Source organism: Homo sapiens, chromosome 13 (assembly GCF_000001405.40).
Source record: "Homo sapiens chromosome 13, GRCh38.p14 Primary Assembly".
Lineage (NCBI taxonomy): Eukaryota > Metazoa > Chordata > Mammalia > Primates > Hominidae > Homo > Homo sapiens.
In genome coordinates this window covers 94,697,258-94,716,630 of record NC_000013.11, presented here as the reverse complement: position 1 = coordinate 94,716,630, position 19,373 = coordinate 94,697,258, and the positions used below count along the sequence as shown (strand labels likewise).

At 49.4% G+C, this 19,373-nt stretch overlaps 1 protein-coding gene, 3 long non-coding RNA genes and 1 pseudogene across 7 annotated transcripts, besides 7 other annotated features; 4 read left to right on the top strand and 1 right to left on the bottom strand.

Moving 5' to 3' along the window:
* Positions 1–685: 685 nt before the first annotated feature.
* SOX21-AS1 (SOX21 antisense RNA 1) lies at positions 686–3,915 on the bottom strand. Its single transcript, NR_046514.1, has 2 exons — positions 3,238–3,915; positions 686–2,993 (listed from the first exon to the last, which is right to left on the bottom strand). It is a non-coding gene; the product is annotated as an SOX21 antisense RNA 1 (long non-coding RNA).
* Positions 2,861–3,362: an enhancer, noted in NCBI's record as "H3K4me1 hESC enhancer chr13:95365523-95366024 (GRCh37/hg19 assembly coordinates)". NCBI's record gives its function as "activates a minimal SCP1, AML or CMV promoter by ChIP-STARR-seq in naive H9 embryonic stem cells {active_cell/tissue: H9 hESC(naive)}" and the evidence as "EXISTENCE:reporter gene assay evidence [ECO:0000049][PMID:30033119]".
* On the top strand, positions 3,188–3,911 carry LOC112268114 (uncharacterized). The gene is made up of 2 exons (NR_158368.1): positions 3,188–3,223; positions 3,369–3,911. It is a non-coding gene; the product is annotated as an uncharacterized LOC112268114 (long non-coding RNA).
* Positions 3,916–4,085: 170 nt separating the features above from the next.
* On the top strand, positions 4,086–7,009 carry SOX21 (SRY-box transcription factor 21). The gene has a single exon (NM_007084.4). It carries the CDS (start codon positions 4,582–4,584, stop codon positions 5,410–5,412), a length of 831 nt encoding a protein of 276 aa, NP_009015.1. The 5' UTR covers positions 4,086–4,581; the 3' UTR covers positions 5,413–7,009.
* A 1,120-nt stretch (positions 7,010–8,129) lies between these two features.
* On the top strand, positions 8,130–17,906 carry LINC00391 (long intergenic non-protein coding RNA 391). 4 transcript variants are annotated; one of them, NR_170288.1, is made up of 5 exons: positions 8,130–8,280; positions 8,997–9,160; positions 10,344–10,494; positions 10,670–10,834; positions 10,915–11,881. It is a non-coding gene; the product is annotated as a long intergenic non-protein coding RNA 391 (long non-coding RNA). The 4 variants fall into 4 exon arrangements; NR_170287.1 differs by having other exon boundaries at positions 8,997–9,301; positions 10,674–11,881; NR_170286.1 differs by lacking the exons at positions 8,997–9,160; positions 10,344–10,494; positions 10,670–10,834; positions 10,915–11,881 and adding exons at positions 15,988–16,086; positions 16,742–17,906.
* Positions 8,868–10,622: an enhancer, noted in NCBI's record as "VISTA enhancer hs488". NCBI's record gives its function as "enhancer in: neural tube[12/12] | hindbrain (rhombencephalon)[12/12] | midbrain (mesencephalon)[12/12] | forebrain[12/12]" and the evidence as "EXISTENCE:transgenic organism evidence [ECO:0001131][PMID:17130149]".
* Positions 9,522–10,203: an enhancer, noted in NCBI's record as "NANOG hESC enhancer chr13:95358682-95359363 (GRCh37/hg19 assembly coordinates)". NCBI's record gives its function as "activates a minimal SCP1, AML or CMV promoter by ChIP-STARR-seq in naive and primed H9 embryonic stem cells {active_cell/tissue: H9 hESC(naive and primed)}" and the evidence as "EXISTENCE:reporter gene assay evidence [ECO:0000049][PMID:30033119]".
* Positions 10,642–11,146: an enhancer, noted in NCBI's record as "H3K4me1 hESC enhancer chr13:95357739-95358243 (GRCh37/hg19 assembly coordinates)". NCBI's record gives its function as "activates a minimal SCP1, AML or CMV promoter by ChIP-STARR-seq in naive H9 embryonic stem cells {active_cell/tissue: H9 hESC(naive)}" and the evidence as "EXISTENCE:reporter gene assay evidence [ECO:0000049][PMID:30033119]".
* Positions 11,147–11,651: an enhancer, noted in NCBI's record as "H3K4me1 hESC enhancer chr13:95357234-95357738 (GRCh37/hg19 assembly coordinates)". NCBI's record gives its function as "activates a minimal SCP1, AML or CMV promoter by ChIP-STARR-seq in naive H9 embryonic stem cells {active_cell/tissue: H9 hESC(naive)}" and the evidence as "EXISTENCE:reporter gene assay evidence [ECO:0000049][PMID:30033119]".
* Positions 13,837–14,512: an enhancer, noted in NCBI's record as "H3K4me1 hESC enhancer chr13:95354373-95355048 (GRCh37/hg19 assembly coordinates)". NCBI's record gives its function as "activates a minimal SCP1, AML or CMV promoter by ChIP-STARR-seq in primed H9 embryonic stem cells {active_cell/tissue: H9 hESC(primed)}" and the evidence as "EXISTENCE:reporter gene assay evidence [ECO:0000049][PMID:30033119]".
* Positions 14,513–15,190: an enhancer, noted in NCBI's record as "H3K4me1 hESC enhancer chr13:95353695-95354372 (GRCh37/hg19 assembly coordinates)". NCBI's record gives its function as "activates a minimal SCP1, AML or CMV promoter by ChIP-STARR-seq in naive and primed H9 embryonic stem cells {active_cell/tissue: H9 hESC(naive and primed)}" and the evidence as "EXISTENCE:reporter gene assay evidence [ECO:0000049][PMID:30033119]".
* Positions 17,129–17,408, top strand: RN7SL585P (RNA, 7SL, cytoplasmic 585, pseudogene; annotated as a pseudogene).
* Positions 17,907–19,373: the final 1,467 nt, after the last annotated feature.

The window sequence follows — 19,373 nt, the reverse complement described above, 5'->3', positions numbered from 1 at the left end:
ACAGGACAAACAGGCTATATCACCTCTCTATGCAGGTATGAAAGCTTCTGAATTCTTCCACTGCACTTGCTTAAGAACAGATCTCCAACATTCTCTAACAACAGCTGTCAGCTCTCAGTGTCCATGAATGATTATTTGGCCTCTGCACTTTGAAGGTATCACCTTCACTGCCCATCACTTCCATCTAGTCACCTCTCATTACCCCATTGGCTTGCTGCTTTATCATCCCTATGGTTCTAGAAAAATGTGACAATGAGCCACCTAGGTGAAAATCCAATGAGAGAGAGGAGGATGAAATGATGGGGGACAATGATTCTGTTCACATTGGGACCCAAGAATTCTCCCCTCCCTTGTGGAAGAGAAAGCAAGCAAGCCAGCCTGTCGTGTTGCCAAGGTATTTTTTATTCCCCAACAATCTCATTGCTGCCTCCTAGTGAAAGTTTTAGAATTGAAAAGAGACTATTTTCTGGGGAGAATTGAAGGGGGAAAAGAGGAAACTCAATTTACACAGGCCCACAACTTTTTCTGAGGGAGTGTCACTCAGTTTCCGACTAGATACATTTGCGATCACATATATCACTGTGGCCGCAAGGGAAATACAGACCCACACGAATTCTACCGATCAAATCTATACTGTTCTTTAGGTGTTTACAATCAAGAGTTGACAAAATAAAGCTCATCAAACTTACAATTCTCTTTCAATTTATTTTCCTTCACTATTCACTCACACAGACTATTCCATTTCCTATATGCTGGGATTTTTTTAATCTTTAGGACAAAACTGAGCAAGAATAAAAATATACCTCTATCAATTCAAACACAAGATATGAGGAAATTAAAAGCAAATTTACATTTTGGTACATATGAATGAAAATGGCTTGAAAATTTACTTTGTTAAAAGCTCAACCAGATTCAGGCAAGAGGTGTGAAGGCTGGTTAATAACAGCAATGCCACATTGCCTTTCTTTAATGAATGGCCGATTATGAGGGCTCTTTCTTTGGTTGTGAAGGGTTAGGCCAAGAATATTGATCCCCTAGAAGCCAAGAACTAAAACCAAATCTTTCCTATTTTGAAATGTGGGAAGTTTCATTTGGTGAATAGACAAGCACACAAATAGTCATTTTCTTCTTATGACACCTTTGTTTCCCACAGTTCAACATTCTTGGACTTGAGAGTGTTCAAATTTGGCTCATTTAATATCACTAGACAGACAATATTGTAAATGTATACTGGAAAAAACTATAGCCAAGGAACCTTACATATATTATTCCTATAAGACATTGCACATGTAAGCATACATTTCAATCATATATACAAACATTTCTAATGTAATAATTTATTGCAGTAGATTTTTACACTTAAATTTGAATAGTATAAAATCACTTAACTCACTAATATAAAACACATTTTCACAATCCTTCTCCCTTTTTATGTGTCAAAATAATTTTCACGATTAAATTTAACTTTATTCACAATATTTAGTGAATAACAGATTTCATGTTTTGTGGCCTATATATACATATGTTCTTTATGTTCCAGTGTATAGTATTTTTGTCTCAAACCTATAAGTCAGTAGGTGAAAAGCTCAGGGACGATAATTTTGTAGTTTATCATCACAAAACAGTATATTTAATATTCCAGTCTATGTAATTACACATGCTAGTGTTTTCCCATTGCTCCAGCCAGAGTCTGTGAATGACAAGAGTGTCTTTACAGAGCCTGTAAAGGAATATGGTTCTGGAGAAATCAGTCCAATTATTTTAACAATGCAAGGGCATAACCGATACAAAATAAGCTTGTCAATACGACATCTTCAGAAAAACAAAAACCCACATAGATGCCACTGCTGTTCACAGTTTTGTTATCACGACTGTAATTTTTAAGTCACTATTCTTTTATTAAAATGAACAAAACAAGCCTAACTTTTACATAAATCTGATGGCCTGAAACAGTTTTAATTCACGTTCATAATTACAATCAAAGCTTTTGTGTGTGTGTGTGTGTGTGTGTGTGTGTGTGTGTGAATGAACTGAACATAAATCGTAGGAAGACTTAAAGAGTTAACCGTTTGTAGATGTTCCTACTTGCACATACCACAGGGCTAGGTCAAATCCAAACTGCCAAAGAAAGAAGGCAAGCAAGTTCTCCCTGAAGGGCAGGCCACCATGTGAATAAAACCTCCAGACAGATCATGTTCTAAATGTGCCGCAGCATACCAAAAAGTGAGGAAAATACGGAAACAGAATCATGCTGTTTGACTTCTGCATCGTGTTAACTATTTTTTTTAAAAAACTGCTCTAACTACTAAAGAAGGAAATTATGCTTAGCATAAAAATATTCCAGCACTGAGTGATTGGTACGTTTTACTTCTCTCTTCCAGGGAAACTACTTACACTTATTGATTTTAAACACCTTCACCTCAGCAGCGCATGTAAGTGAGACACTGTAAGTTAACTGTACCTTAAAGAGATCAGTATATAGATGGTTCTGGCGACCAAGATTACAACAAAAGACAAACAACACAGAATTTTTAAAGAGCTGAATAGTCAGTCAAGGATGCATACTCTCAGTCTGGGCTAGCTCTTTTTTGGAAAGGTTGCCAAGAATGTCCTTATTCCCTCCAGAGTTATTTTTCACTCCACTACCTCTGACTAGGTGCATCGCCAGTGCAAGAAAATGCGAGAAGCCTCTGTTTCTGTTGCAAGCAACACCTGGACCTCCAAGGAAAATGAGCACTTTCTTGCTAGGAACAGTCTCAAACATTTTCAAGGGTGAGTCTCCCCTTCTCCAGGTTTAACCCTCTTCCTCCGTAGCTGGAGAGGCTCTCCTACTCGTGCCCGCCGCCTTCTTCCTCCCGGCGAGGATTCCAGGGCCACAACCAGGGCAGCTGCACGCCAGGCCGGCCTGGGTAGCCGGGATGACACCAGGGTTTGCCAACGCCAAACAGGGCGCAGACTCCCCGGCGCGCTCCGGACTCTCCACTCGCCTAAACCTGCTCTCAAGTGAAAAGGAGTGGGAGGAGGAGGATTGGGAGGGGGCGGGGGGCGGAGGGGATCTGTTAATTCGAGGTCCTGGGGGTGTGGGAGCGGGAGGCGGCTCCGCTGATCCCTCCTCCCTCCCCGAGTCCTGGGCTCCACCTCCTCCGCAGGCCCCCAGATATACACACACAGCCGCGGCTGGACATGCACACCCAGTGCCGGCTCCGGGCGCGCACACATGCAGGTAGCCACACTCACCTGAGCCGGTGCAGAGGGCGGCCTGGGCTGGGAAGGGGCCCCCTGCGCCGCGGGAGTGGGGAGAGCGGGAGGTGCCACAGCGCGGACCTGCGAACTGAGGTGATGGCCCGTTTTCCTTAACTCTCCTGCAGCACCTCCGCCCCTGCGCCGGCTCGGCTCTGGCCACAGCAGCGAGGACAGAGGGGCCCCGGGCGCGGCGGACTCGCGGGCGCACGCTCCCAGGAGCGCGCCGAGAGGGGCGCCGCGGCGCAGGAAACTTGGGCGAAGTTAGTTGCAAGTGCCAGGCGGCTGCCGAGAAGAGCGAGGCGGGGACGCGGCCGGTGCCAGGCCTGCGGCGCCGCGTGGAGGCTGCGCTGCCCTCCGCGGCCGGCGAGCTCCGGGAGCCCTAAGTCGGCAGGCGCGCCTGAAGGGGCTCGGAGCGAACAGAGCCGGCATGGCCCAGGGGACGGCCGGACGCGGCTCCTCGGCGAGCCGGGAGAACTTCCTCTGAGGCCGGGCGACCAACGCTTGCTCAAGCCTCATCCACCCTCCTTCCTCGCCCCACCCGTCAGTCCAGCAGCGGGAGAGGAAGACTCGAGAGGCAGGTGCTGCGGGGGACAGCTCCCCCCTCCAAAAAAAAAAAATCACCCAGCCGATTGGGGGTTTCCCATCGGCGCACCCTGCCCGGAGCCAAGAAGACAGGCTGGTGCTGCTGTATTTGTATTTATATCCATTGCTGCGCTCTGCGTTCTCGTGGCACGCCTGGACACTCCTCCGCCTCCCCCTCCTCTTCCTCCTCCAGGGCCACCTCCCCGCCTTCCCCACCCCCATCTGCTTCTGTCAAATGAGAAAGTCACCGAGGAGAACCCAAACACTCCAGCCGCTGAGAGCCCCCTTTGGCACTTGGCAGCACGCGGCGGCGGGCTCCTCGGCTCAACTTCGAGGAGTCTCCGCGACGCAACTTTTGGGGACGCTTTGCATTTAAGAGAGAACGACCGAGGAGGAGGAGCGCTCTGCCCGGCCGCCGCTACCTGCGGGGAGCTCACCAGCAAACGCCACTGCAGACGAAGGACCCAAAGAACGTAAAGGGCAAACTGCCGCCGCGGGGAGGGGGCACCGCCGAGAAGTTAGAGTGTCCCAGAGACAACCTGCTCGAGCGCTCGGCCGGAGACACTAAGGCGGCCCGGGGCGCGGCGTGGCCCTGGGCTGGTCCCCCAGCCCCCTCCTCCGGGGCGGGAGCGACGCCGGGGCGCGACGAGCCCCGGCCGGCCGAGCGGGTCTCCGCGGGCAGCCAACATTGATTTCCTCCGGGCCGAGGGCGAGGGCCCGGGAGGCGGCGGGCTGCAGCCGCGGCAGGGCGAGAGCATGTCCAAGCCGGTGGACCACGTCAAGCGGCCCATGAACGCCTTCATGGTGTGGTCGCGGGCTCAGCGGCGCAAGATGGCCCAGGAGAACCCCAAGATGCACAACTCGGAGATCAGCAAGCGCTTGGGCGCCGAGTGGAAACTGCTCACAGAGTCGGAGAAGCGGCCGTTCATCGACGAGGCCAAGCGTCTACGCGCCATGCACATGAAGGAGCACCCCGACTACAAGTACCGGCCGCGGCGCAAGCCCAAGACGCTGCTCAAGAAGGACAAGTTCGCCTTCCCGGTGCCCTACGGCCTGGGCGGCGTGGCGGACGCCGAGCACCCTGCGCTCAAGGCGGGCGCCGGGCTGCACGCGGGGGCGGGCGGCGGCCTGGTGCCTGAGTCGCTGCTCGCCAATCCCGAGAAGGCGGCCGCGGCCGCCGCCGCTGCCGCCGCACGCGTCTTCTTCCCGCAGTCGGCCGCTGCCGCCGCCGCTGCCGCCGCCGCCGCCGCCGCGGGCAGCCCCTACTCGCTGCTCGACCTGGGCTCCAAAATGGCAGAGATCTCGTCGTCCTCGTCCGGCCTCCCGTACGCGTCGTCGCTGGGCTACCCGACCGCGGGCGCGGGCGCCTTCCACGGCGCGGCGGCGGCGGCTGCAGCGGCGGCCGCCGCCGCCGGGGGGCACACGCACTCGCACCCCAGCCCGGGCAACCCGGGCTACATGATCCCGTGCAACTGCAGCGCGTGGCCCAGCCCCGGGCTGCAGCCGCCGCTCGCCTACATCCTGCTGCCGGGCATGGGCAAGCCCCAGCTGGACCCCTACCCCGCGGCCTACGCTGCCGCGCTATGACCCCGCGGGGCCGCCTCGCGAGGACCGGTGTGCACACGTGTACATATGTATAGGTACGAGCGCTGCGGCCTCCCCGTGCGCCCTCCCGCGACCGGGGGCCCGGTTTGTATGTACATAGAATGTATAGGTGCCAGGTAGAGGCAGAGAGGCCAGGCGGGGCAGGAGTGGCCAAGCGCGCAAGGGCGCGGGCGAGCAGGCCTGTGAATTCGCAGGATCATTTCAGACCCGCACTTCGGCAGCCAACTCGAAAGCAGGCGGTTGTGTGCGGCAGCAGTTGGCGTTTGCTTTGCACTTCGGAACCTGTTGCGTTTTGACCCACGGAGGTGGAGGAGTAACTTTTTGACATGTTGGCCTTTCCAGTTTTGTTGGAAGTTTCATGGTCGGTTTTGTTTTTGTTTCTCATTCTTCTTCCTCGCCCCTCAGCCCCCCAACCCCCAACCCCCTCCCGGTCCGTGTTGCATGCACGCTGTTCAAATGTGAGGTCTGAAATGGCTGGCACACGGGAAAAGCTGCTTGTGTCATTCGTTTCTGGGAGTGGGATGGCTCTGAGCAGCCTCGCCTCCCTGTTTGTACTATTTGAACTTTGCAGATCTCTGTTCTCTCAAGCAGAACTCCCAACCAGATCCATTCTTGACCAGTGACCGGCTCGAATCTGGCCTTTTGTGTGAGATGATCACGGTTTCTTTTGTTTATCACGCCATTTGCAAATCAGAGCAAGAGCTCTTTCTCAAGGGCAAGAAACGCAAACAAGAAATATTTGTGAGATGAAAGTTGTCAATTGGATTTTCTTCCTAAACAAACAACAACAACAAACTACTAGAAGTCTCCCTGAGTCCACTCGCTTGGATTTCTGACACAGTTTACAAAAAAGGAAAAAGGCACTGCTCCTATTTTCCCTTATGGCTGAGTTCACCTTAAGATTGTAAATGTGTATATGTCAGTGAAAACATTGAGGCTTGGAAAATGTGTTATTTTCGTTGCCCTAAGTTTGAGTCGACTTTAGACTCAAAAACATTTTGAGCGAATATCAAAGTTAACTTTTAAAAATTGCGAAACTATTTCAGAATCGCAATTTTATCGAAGATTAAATCAGACTTTTTTGTCTGGTAATTATATATTTATTATTTAGCAAAACTGAAGAAAAAAAGCACAGAATTGTTTCAACAGATGTCTCTCATTTTCAGCTAGCATTTCTCTCCCAAGTTGAGCTGGTTTAATGTGTTTTGGATTTCCCTCCTCAATTGGCTTATTTTTTAGATCACCTGCAATTCATTTGCAAATTGCAATAAAACACATTTTAGAAAAAAGGAACCTTCAATTATTAGCTTTGTTTCTTTTTAAATGTATATATTTTGACTAATGTTTGTGAATGAAGTTGGCTAACATGTATTTAGTTTCATTTTGGCTTTATGTAATATAAAGTTTTTAAAATTTTAAATATGGTTTTAACCTTTATGTGTAAATGATTTTCTAGTGTGACCTTCTAATTTAATATTAGACGTCTAAGGTATATCTGTAAATTAGAATCCGACTATCACTCTGTTCATTTTTTTTGAACAAAGAGTTTAAATAAAGCCTGAACCAGGGAAAAGAAAAATCTTCTATTTCTTGTTGAGTTCCTAACAAGATTTTTATCTGAATTGCCCTTACGTGCCTGGTCCAGGTGAAGTGTAAGGTATCCTCCAAAGGCACCCTTTGTTTCACTTTTGAATAGATTTACTAGGAAATCTAAATCAAGCCATTGTTATTCAGAGCCAAAAACCTGATTTATCACATTTTTAATCGTGAATAGGAAAGAAGATTTTTAAAAAGCCCAAGTCGTTGTATTAGCTTTAACAACAACAAAAAAAAGGCATTCATGAACCAGTAGAACAGAGCCCATTGAAAACATCCAGACCTTTCAAAGCATTTCACCAGTTTCTAGTAACATTTTAAGAGGGGAAAGTTGCTTGACCACTTTATCTTGTTAGTTGAAGAGCCCCACCACTTAAATCAGTGTAATTTGTTCTCCTATCTTTGGGGTATTCCTTGTTGACACCTTAAGGTTTTATTTGGAAGGATAATCACTACTAACGACAAAGTACAAATTTTGGCCTCTTTAGGACTTAATTTTGTTATGCTAATCGCATTAAAGTAGAAGTATAACATTCAAATGGAGAGGGTTGGATTTCTAGGGCTAGACAAATTGCTACTAAAGTTTGAAAAATCATAAAGGATTTTAATTTTAGACAAGAAATAGAAGACTGTCAGAAAAAAAAAAATAGGAAGATCTCGCCCCCCCGCAACCAAAATGGAAATTCTCAAGATACTATATACAAGTCTTAAACCAGTTTCCCCATTGAGACCATCTCTGGAGCTGCACGTCTTTATAAACGACCCAAGTCTTTAAAGTCATTGTTTTCCCCCAACGGAATAATATTTTAAAAACCATGAAAAGTTTTGGAAATGTGAGAAATAGGCTCTGCTGGTTTGACCCTGATTCACTAATTAAAATGATCCCTCTCCTGTTATTCCCTGAGCTCTTTGCAATATTATAAGTTAATTCATATGGTTCTGAGCGATTATGCAAAACTAATTTGGACTGTCCAGGGGTAATTATCCCTGACACGGTTAATTAAATCCTTTCAAGGCTTCGTCTTTCCCTTTTGTAGCAGCCCATCCCTTCTCAACACGGAACTTCCTGCGGCTCGCTGGAAATCACCCCAGCCCTAAATCTTAGTTACCACCCTGAGCCTTCCAGCTCGGCCGCCTCCTCGGCCTGAAGACTCCCCGCCTCCTCCCGCCCCCTCCCCTTTTCCCAAAGATCAGCGTTTTCTGGGAGAAACGCTCCGGAGTTGTTGATGAATGAGAAGAGGACTGGAAAGATGGGTAAGAGGAGGGGTGAGGATGCCGAGGGGGAGCACCGAGGTCATATCGCCAACAGATTGTGCGGCTGTTTGAGGACCTCCACAGGCCCCACAGACTCGTTTATCACCCATTCTGACTCCAATGGTCTTGCTAACAAGTTGGCGGGTTTTGCGCCTGCAGAGAGCCTCCTGCCAAGTTAGACTGTGCAGAAGTAAGGGGTTGGAGCGGGGGGAGCGGCTCCGGGGCAAGAGGGCGTAGAGAAAGGCCCGGGGGTGGGTGGTGTAAGCGTCTGAAAGTGGCCCACAAATGCAGCGCTGTGATTGGGCAGAGAGCTGCTGCTGGCTCGCGATCTCTATCTCCATCTCTTTATCTATCTCCGTCTCTCTCCCTGTTTCTCCATTTTTCTTTCTTTCCTTCTCTCTCCTTCCTTCCTTCCATCTTTCTTCTTTCCCTTCCTTTTATTCTTCTATTTTCGTTTCTTTTCAAGGTTTTTTTTAAAGCCATGATGCAATTTCTTTGGTATTCACCGTTGTCCCAAAACTTGAAGCAAGCCTCGTATCCAAGGGGCCAGGCATGTTGCTTCGGGCTTTGTGCAAACAGGTGGAATTGCGCTGTGTAAGCAGTAAGAACTGGTGCTGGGGACGCTGTCGCGCGAGGGGGTGGCTTTGGGAGAGCAGGGTTGCTGGCCGCGATTGTTACTTCCCTTGACAATTTCCTCCTCCCCCTCCCCCAAGAAGATAGGAGAAAGCACCGCGGATCTCCCTCTCACCCCAGGCTCGGGGCGCAGAAGATGGAGAGAAGATTCCACTCTCCCCGGAGCAGATAGGGACGGTCGCGCCAGCCAATCAGAGCGCGGCTCGGCGCCGGCGCTCCCGGCCGCCTGGGCCGCCGTGTCCTCCAGGCAAGCGAAGTTCCCGCAACTCGTCCGCCTCGAGGGTCCGCGTCTTTCTTGCGCCCGCGGCCCAGCGGAGGCCGAGGGAGCCGTCCAAACTTTATTAATCTCTCCTCCTTTCTTTCTCCCTCAGCCCAGTGCATCTCAAAGGTCAGCCCTCTTCTTTTAAAAGACTGATATTATTAATGCACTGACAATTCCTCCCCCCCTTTTCTTTTTTCTCTCTTGCAGGGGGGAAAAAAAGGGAAATGGTGAAAAGAGCTTTTTTTATCCTTTTTTTTTTTTTTGTCCTTCAGTGGGAGCGTTTAGACAGTCGAGGAGGTTTTGTCCGAGAACAAAACGCAGGGTTGGGAGGTTTTGTGAGAGTGTTGTTTGTTGAAGTGGAGCTAAGAAAAAGCGGCGGCTTTCTCCTCATTGTGAAGAAACCAATCAGTGGTATTTGGAAAACTGTTAGCATTGTGCACTTCTTCTGTGTCCATTGTGAGGCGTTTCTTTTCACAAGGTTTTTTTTTCAGCCGATCCAGCTGGCCGGAATGAATAGCGGTGCAATGTGTACACGCTTTGTCCCTCCGGCCTTCAAGTAGCCCCCATTGAATAGACTAAGTTGACACTGCGTGACAGTGAAACAACATAATAAAAAATACATGAGCCCCTGAATAGGAGCAGGCGCATAAATAAATAAAATGGGTGACCAAAACTGGATAAACTGAATGACAAAACGGTGAAAGGGGAACAAAAAGATATTTAACACGCTAGATTAGCATTAGAATGCGATCTACAAGGCAGAACAATTGATGAATAGGTTTACCGGCCAAGAAAGAAATGGACTAAATGCCCTTTGAATAGATATGCTTTTTGCAAGGGCTTTGAATAGATATGCTTTTGCAAGGGCTGAATGGGAAAAGGTAAAGATGAAGCTATGCAAATGAGCCGGGGAACTTTTTATATATATTCTTTAAACACACACACACACACTGCGGGGGGAAGAGTGCTGCCTCGGGATGTTTATAGAAGCAATAATTGCCATTATTAGCATTGTCTGCGGCAGATAGAAATTGAACAGGTTGGGATAATATAGGGTAGCAGTAATTATTCTTCTAATTAATGGTCCTTTGCTACTTGAAAAAAGAAAAAAGGAAAGAAGTAGTAAAAGTTATGCAGAAGTTATGTTTCCTTGTGTCCATTTGCCCAGCGCTGGAATCTGTGGAGCAGGAAGCCTGGCAATTCCAAGATACGCGATGATCTTCAAACATTCCCGGGAGCCAGTCCTGAGGCTCTGGCTTCAGGGCCTAGTTTCCATTTATGCCGCGTTTTTGAGAGTCTAATACTGTGTCTGGCACATGGTAGGTGCTCACTGAATAGTCGTGGTATGAATGAATGAACGAATGAATGAATGAATGAATGAATGAATATAAGTTTAATGGGGGAAACCCGGGCCTCCTAATAAAGGTAGGGGCTGGGGGATACCTAGGGGCTTCCCCAGGAGGATTTCTTTTTTCATCATCCCACCCCTGGGAGAAAGGTCCACGCAGGATGGTCGCTTCCCCCTTGCTGAGAGTTTTGCCTTCAGCCTATCTGGGCCGCTGGAAAAGAGGAGAAGAATAAACAAGAGACAAGCAACTACTCCCCTACCGGCGTTCCGTCCTTGTCCTCACTGCCAAATCCACTCCAAAGCCGAGGATGGTGAGACTGTGAAGTTGCAAAGAAACACAGAGCCCACCCCCTTAAAGAATTACGATATATTTAAAGTTTGCCTCTTTCAGGTTTCTCTCCTTGGCTCCTGCCCCTTTCCCCTCCCGGCTCCTTGTCCTTGACTGAACCTCATGGGACAGAGAACCTCCTGTCCCCCACGAGGCAAGGCGCGAACCCGCAGAGATCTGGGGTGCCCTTTGGTTCCCTGCGCTGCCCTGGAGGCGTCCATAGAGGCCTTTGCCGCCAAGGACAGCAATTGTTTTATTTTCGATGGTTGCTCGCCAGGCCTGCGGGTCGCGGGCCCACCCAGCCGTCGAACTTTCCAGTCGTTATCAGCGCTGCTCCTAACTTAATGGAATAATGCAAATTATAGCCTGCCCAGCTGACACGTCCCTGCGAATGCGCCGGGGCTGAGCTCTGGCCAGCCGCTCTCTCGACGTCCTGGACGGCCGGAGGGAATGAAGCTCTGAATTGTGACAAAAGTGGGGGGGGGGCACCCCAAATTCTCAAAGCAATGTTCTTTTTTTTTTCTTTTTTCTTAAGCAATTGAGCCTTACCAAATGTCGGGGCCGCACGGAAGCCTTGCATATTTTAAAGTGTAACCTGAGCCTTCGCGGTTTCAGCTTCACTTAAAACATGCAAATTCTTGAAATTGAAAAATCTGAAAAACTTCCGAAGAGTTCTATCTGAATAAATCCAAATCCATTGGGAGTCGCTTTGAGGAGACAAAACGCACAGCGATTTGGGGTGAGGGATATTTGTGGGGAGGCAGGACGTGCTGGATTGGGTTTCCAGGGTCAAGGTGTCTCTGGGCCTTCGACGATAGCCTTAGCGCAGAGCAGGGAAGTGGCACCGCTAGGCAGCAAGCTCAGTTGCTCTACTTTTGTGACCCATCCCCCCACCCCCCCCACCGCCACCCTTGCCTCCGGGCCACTGCCCCTCTCTGCAAGCTTTGTCCGCTGGACTCCGTTGCCCTTGCGCGGCCGCCCCATCACTCACGCTTGACTGGAGGAAATAAAATTGGCGTTGGCTTTTTAATTCCAAGCTTCGTGCTTGATTGGGGGAGGGGTTATTTAGGTATTTTTTTTTTCAAACAGAAGAAATTTAGGTACTAATTGTAAACACCCCGTTGCTCTTCTTGAAAGTATGTATCATATTAGCCGAGGCCTTGGAGACACACGGCCTATTACTCATTTCCAGCCTCTAGGCAAAGAATTCTATGGAGATCCACCAGTAAAACCAGATTTCTTAAGGGAAATTACCAGGACGTCTTCAGACTCTCTTCAAGGGATATTACTGGTTGTCGATTACACTTGAGCACACTCTTCTCTAGCCCACCCCTACCATTTTATTTTGGGATCACCCTAAGGAAATTAGCCATTTGCAGAAAGCTTGAAATCCCGAAAGGAGAGGCACAACCTAGGGTAAAAGAGACCGAGTGAAGCTTTTCAGATTGATTGTCTCCACTGGGGCCACTTTTCATAAGGTCGGGAGTGGAGAGGAGTGTCTGCAGAAGAGAGACTACCTTTAAAGGGGCTCTCCCGAACTCAGGAGGTGAGGGGGACTTCCTAGAGTTGTCACCACCTGTAGGTGGATTTGTCATCACTATGTAGTGTCTCCTGGGGAGCCAGCCTGTTCTCCCCAGAGTCCCCCTCAGGTACTGTCCCAGAGTTCAGGGGAGCCTTTAGCGCTTTCTCCGTTTGCCCTGAGGGTATTGCATGTACAAAAGCTCCTTCACGCGCGCGCGCACACATAGACATCCAGCGGGTTTGGAGTGTACCCCTGTTTATTTGTCACCACGTGGTAAACCCCAGATTTGGAAGTCATCACTATGCGGGCGCGCATCAGGATCCAGGGGAGACTGTGTGGGGTTGGGACTGCGCACAAACACAGGGGAATTCTGCACAACAAACATTTGCGCGAGCGCTCTCCCTCGCCCCCTCTCGCTTAGCTGGATTTTTGTAAGGGGGTTTCTTTTAAATTGGATTATCCGAATGGTCGCCCATATGGCCTTACTCTGCCTGCATAGACTGGCCGGGTGAAGACGAGTGAAAGGACGCACGGAGAGCCTGAGACAGAAGATAGAGAACTTCTTCAGAGCAGCGTAGGAAAAGTGGGTGCTGGGTGAAACGGAAGGCAAAGAGAGAGAATAGAAGAAGAATCTACAAGAACGAGAATGCAACAGCAGCATTGCAGACGCACCTTCAGGTTCACCTGCGGAAGGCACGCCCAGGGCGGAGGAGTGGCGGGACTGGCGGAAGATCAGGAGGCGGCGGAGGACCCCAGGGTTCCCAACACTGACCCCTCCGCAAAGTTCCTCCCTGGGAGAAGAGACTGGCCAGGTCAGGGAGGGAGGGGTGTGGGAGGCGATGATCACGCGGGCTCTGGCAGGATCCGCACGGAACAGAGAGATCTGGAAGGGAGAGAGGGTCTTAGAGGACACCCCAGCCTCCAGTCCCGGTGACCCCTCCCTCTGGGGCTGGAGCCACATTAGAAAGAAAAGTGTCTGAAATTAGGTGCGGCCTCTCCCCCCGCTAATTTAACCCCTGCAGACCCACAGTGGAAAGCAGATTTTGTGCAGCCTGAAATTTATCTAAGTCTTGGGGGCTTATTTAGTAAAAAATAAATCATAATCCTGATAGGACTTTAGAAGGGGGGTCGGCACAAGTGTGGGACTCTTTCTTGCCGGGAAACGGAATCTGCCCCTGGTAGACCCATTGGACTACCTTGGGATCTTGTTCCCAGCTCCAGTGGTGAGGCGAGCGCCTGGGGGCATCAATCAGCCCCCTTCTGATCATCGCCCTTACCCTCCTTCGCAGCAGCTGCCCAACTTTGGGCTGGTTGGAGAAGGGGCTGGCGGGACAAAGGCGCCAACTGCTTGTCCGGATTGCTGTTCTTCCTTTTCGGGGACTAGGTTTTCTCCCGTAAACTTAGACTTGTGTAGGTCGAGCGGTTGATTAATATGGATTGGAGCTCGGCTGCTCAAGGCCGCGTGAATAAACATGAGCGCGCGGCGGCTAGGCTCACCGCTCCCCGAACTTCTCTGGGGCGCCGGGAGCCGGAACTGCGAAGCAGCTCGTTCCAGATGCGGGCGGGACTGCGGGTCCACCTAAACCAGCGCGGTCTCTGTGCGCCCCCCGACCCGCACACACACACCCTAGCCTGGATGCCCTAGCGTACCGCAGGCGTCACGGATCTGCGCTCACTCAACTCTCCGGGGTCTTTGGACACCGTTTCTTTGCTTTCTAGACGCTGCCTCCACTCTAGGATACAGATTCAGATTTTGGGAACCTGGGGTGCGGGAGGTTGCGGGTGGGGGAGATTCTCCCCATTTCCCAAGTGTTGAGCAAGGGTTACCCAACTTGAATCACTGCGCAAAACAAAGGCGACCCTAAGTGTGTCCACGGATGCGCGGGGTGGAGATCCTGGCCCCGCAGCTGGAAAGAATGTGTTAAGCCGCGGATTCCGGGGAGGACACAGCGCTCACAGAAGGCCCTTGTTTTCTGAAGTCTGCGGGCCTACAGGCGGCTGCGGGGATCATCACCTACCCACTACACGTCCAAAGACTTCACCATCTCCCGCTTGGAAAAGTCGCCCTTGCGACTTGTCTCCCTGAAGCCACCGTGTCTTCGTCTTTGGAACCTACGAGAAGTGTCAAAGCTAAGTGTATGTGTAGGCTTCGGCAGCTTCACCACCCGCCCCCACCCATGGCCTCCAGGTCGCTGTCTCTCCGCTCTCATATGCACACACTGAGTGACCGGTCTGGGCCGGGGCGGAATCGGGTGCCCGCCAACCCCAGCGCAGCTCAGAGTCTCAGCGAGGAGGCGAAGGCTTGGCGGGATGAGGCTTCCGTGGGCCTTAAGGCCTTCCTCAAGCCTGCAGACTCCTGCTACTGCAAAACCAACAAGGCCCCACGTCCCACCTTGGGCTGCCACCTCCGCCCACACCACGAGTCTAAGTAGTCGGCTTCTTAGTATCCCCAGGACTGCGCGCTCCGGGCTGTGCGGGGCACAGAGCAGCGCTGGGAAGGTGGGAAGGGCTTCGCAAAAGACATGCATCGTGCCAGTCATTAGGTTGGCGGGATGAAGTCCCAAGAGCGCTACTTGGAGCTTGCCGCCCCTCCCCTGTCCCTAGCATTTGTCCGAGGTCACCCAAAGGCTGCCCTTGAGATAAGGAGCGGGGTTTGTCTGCTAAAGTGTTGGGGACAAGACCAAGCCCGGGACCCAACCCAGATCCCAAGGCCCAAGGCTTTTCTTAAAAACTGTTCCCTGGAAAATGGTGTGGGCTTGGGACATCTATTGACCCACGCGCCCCAGCCCAGGTCCTGGGCTGCCTTCCCGCATCCAGATCACATTTATTGGACATAAAGGCCGCGCTAGTCCGTGGCTGGGAGCTTTTCTCTTTGCAGGAAGAACAGAGGTTGACAATTCTAGAACAGCAGGGCAAGCCTCGGAGGAGGTTTGGGTCTACTGGCGAAAGAGGAGAAAGACCTTTCTGCTGGGAAAATGCTGTCTCATAAGAAGGTCAGGAGTGGGCTACAAGGCACTTGGCATCCTGTACTGAAAGATGGAGGTGCACAGCTAAACAAAGCCCATCTGGAAGAAATTTTATCTATACAATACCAAGATAGACAACCCTAAGTCATTTGGGGATGCCAATGAGCCCCTAATAACTGCTTTTCCTCAGTTCCTAATTTTGTGCCAGATGAGCCTCTCTGATGCACCAGGCCAGGAGGCATCATTCTCCTTGTATTTTGTATGAATGGTGCCCCCTAGATGCCTCTTTCCCAGGCTTATCTGTAATCTCCCCGACAAGTATTTCCAATATATAGATAAGGAGGGGCTTTCCAAGCTCACACATCAAGTAACTAGTAGAACTTCCAGACATCTACCTGCCCCCAGAGCCAAACCCCTTTAACCTTGCTACCCTTTACTATATATGAAAGGAAGTACCCTTCCACAATTTTAGCCACGTAAGAAGTTCCCTGATATCCTTGCAAATCAAAACAGAGGCTTGTTGATAATGTGCTATTTCTGGAATGCCCCTCCAGGCTGAAAATCCATCCTATCATGACTGCAGACAGACAGGTCGGGGGACACTGTGAGTGGAGGGGAAAAAAACTTTGTCTTACTTTTCTGTCTTAGTGAAACAAACCATCAACAAGTCTTTTTCTCTTGAGCCACAAATGTTTGAAGTCAATGACTTTCGAAAAATGAGTGAAATCCACGCAGGAAAATCCAGCGGTGAGCAGATTCCCCAGACAATGCCTCACCTTTTCTTCTCTCCCCATCTCTCTTCCTCATTTTCCTTCTCCTGGTTATAGTTCCTTGTGGGCCTTCTGGCATTTTTCTTAGTCCAGGGTAGTGAAAGTGTTGCTAAACCCTGGTGTAATGCCTTAAATGCTTCCTTGTTAAGCATTTGAGAGGGTGGAGAGCTGTGTTTTGCTGGATTTAGAATCCTTCCGGCTATGCCGAAGGGTACAGTAGAGCAACAAAGGTCAGTGAACTCTGGTTACTAATGCTATCTCCTGCCATTCTCCAAGGTACCTGGTGCCAATGAGCAAATACCTTCACTTCCACCCACACAGCTGCTCACTTACTAGGCTCTGTGTACCCATAGACGCTGCCTTCTCTTCTGTGCTGCTGAGGAACAATCCCTGCTCCCAGCAAGGGTCAGCCTCTCTACTGCACACTAGATCTCATTCCTTCTGTGGTAGGCAGCCTCTAAGATGACTTCAATCCCCACCTCCTGGTATTCACGCCTTTGTGTAAACTCCTCCCCTTGAGTATAAGCTGGACTTGCTGCTAACATTGAATATGACCAAGTGATTTCCCTTCTCAGATGGTGACTTCTGCTCCCACCCCTCTCTCTCCCAAACCCTCTCTGTCTCTTTTTCAGCTCTTGTTCTAAGGGAAGCAAGCTGCTCCATGGAAAGACCCACAGGGCAAGAGCTGATGTATCTGGCCAAAGGACAGCAAAGACTTGAGGCCTGTCAGCAGCTAAGTGAAAAAGTCACCCGATCAAACCTTGAGATGACTACAGCCCCAGGTGGCACCTTGATTGCAGCTTTGGAAGAGACCCTGAGCTAGAGGATACTCAACAGCAAGGCCCCCTGGATTCAAAACCCACTGAAACCATAAGATAATCTGTTTTTGTTGTTTTAAGCCATTAAGTTTTGGAGTGACTTGTGACACAGCAAGAGGTAGTGAATATACTGTGTGATGTAGTCAAGGACATAGCTCCAGAAAAATCTCTCCCCTTTCTCTTGCAACATCAAACCAAATAGCCTGTAGTCCCAATTATTTGGGAGGCTGAGAAAGGAGGATCACTTGAGCCCAGGAGTTCTGGGCTGTAGTGCACTATGCCCATTGGATGCCTGCAATAAGTTCAGCATCAATATGTTGACCTCCTGGTAGATAGGGACCACCAGGTTGCCTAAGGAGGGGTGAACTGGCACAGGTTGGAAATGGAGCAAGTCAAAACTCCTGCACTGATGAGTAGTACGATTGCACCTGTAAATAGCCAAAGCAATGTAGCCTGGACAACATAGCAAGACCCCATCTCTTTAAAAAAAGAAAGAAAAGAGAAAGAAAGAAACCAAACTTTTTCTTCCCTACTGAATCATTTTTGCAGCATAAAATATTTGTTATTTCCTCTTTTTTAAAAAACCTCTTGGTCAAGAGTGGTGGCTCATGCTTGTAATCCCAGCACCTTGGGAGGCCAAGGTGGGAGGATTGCTGCAGCCCGGGAGTTCAAGACCAGTCTAGGCAGCATAGAAAGACTTCATCTCTACAAAAAATAGAAAATTAGTTGGGTGTTGGTGGTGTATGCCGGTAGTCCTAGCTACATGGGAGGCTGAGGCAGTGAGGCAGGAGGATGGTTTGGGTCCAGAAGGTTGAGGCTGCAGTGAGCCAAGATCCCTGCCACTGCACTCCAAGGGGATAACAGAGTGAGACGCTATCCCAAAACAAACAAACAAAAACCAAACCAGAACAAAAAACTCCCAGGACCTCATTTTTTCTCTTCTCTGTTCCCTTTTACAATGAATTCCTTAAAAAGAAAACATGTCTATATTCCCTATTTCCCTGTTTTCTCTTTTCTCTTGAAATCCCTCCAGTTAGAGTTTGCCTTCCCTCCCCAACTCCACTTCACCAAAACTTGCTCTGATCGACTCCCCTGTTGCTAAATCGAATGGTCAGTTCTCATCTAACTTGATCCATCAGCAGCATTTGACAGAGTTGATCATGCTCTCCCCAGGAAATTTTACTTGGTTTTGAGAGCTCCACCCTCAGTCTTTCTACTGCCTCATTGGATGCTCTTTGCTGTTCTCCTTTCCTGGTTCCACTCCTCTCCAACCTTTTATTGAGTTTTATCAAGAAAGATAGGAATTCAACTGGGTGTGGTGGCTCATGCCTATAATCCCAGCATTTTGGGAGGCCAAGGCAGGAGGATCACTTGAGCCCAGGAGTTTGAGAACAGCCTAGGCAACATACGGAGACCCTGTCTCTACAGAATAAAAGAGGAGGAGGAGAAAGAAAGATAGGAATTCATTTAATAGTCTCCTATCTTCAAGCAAGCTGCAATTGTCTTTGATATTATTTAACAGTTTCAGTTGAAGCCAATATGCTGTCAATCACATATCATTGTAACTAGCAATATTTATTTGTCACTATGAGCAAGGGTAAGCTGCAAAAACACATAAGCCCCAAATTTCAATGACTTAATATAAAAAGTTTATTTTTTACTCCAGCAGGGGCTGTGCTCCTCCCGGCTGGTGGAGATTCCATCTTAATACATGCTTCTCTGACCACCTGAGCAGGGGAATACAGCCTAACAGTCATATGCTAGCTCTTAAAATTTCTCACCAAAAGCAATACTCATCACTTCTGCTCACATTTCGTTGGCCAAAGTGTGTCTTATGGCCACATCAAATCTCAAAGGGGGCACAGAATGATAATCCTACCACATACCGAGAAGGCGGAGAGCCAGAACTATTTGGTGAACTGCACTACTGACCACCTTCATAGATAAACATCCACTGATAAACACCCTCAGTCAAAACAAAAACAAAAACAAAAACAAACAAACAAACATTACAGCCAGGCTTGGTGGCTCACACCTGTAATCCCAGTACTTTGGGAGGCCAAGGTGGGAGGATTGCTTGAGCCCAGGAGTTTGAGGCTGCAATAAGCTAAAAATTTATCTTCTCTCTGAATTCAGCAGTCCCATTGCTGCTAAGGAGTTCTGGAAGGTTCATAACAACACCATAGGACTTGAAACTGTCCTTCTGTAGGGCATTAAAGAGTTTCTTGTTGTCTGTGCTTGTACTAAAGAAGAAGGAGAAGGAGGAGAGACTGATAAACTGTAGCCCTAGCTTTTCCTTCCATCTTTCCAATCTTATATCCACTCTCCCCACACACATACATGCATTCATCCTTATATACACATCACACTAAATGAGTCCCTTTCTGGAACTTGGGTTGTAATTCTCCTACCTGTGTCCCCCACGCCCATTCCCAAAGTGATATAC

Excerpts from the sequence above, each read along its gene's own strand:
- SOX21 (NM_007084.4), top strand. The coding sequence starts at position 4,582 with ATGTCCAAGCCGGTGGACCACGTCAAGCGGCCCATGAACGCCTTCATG.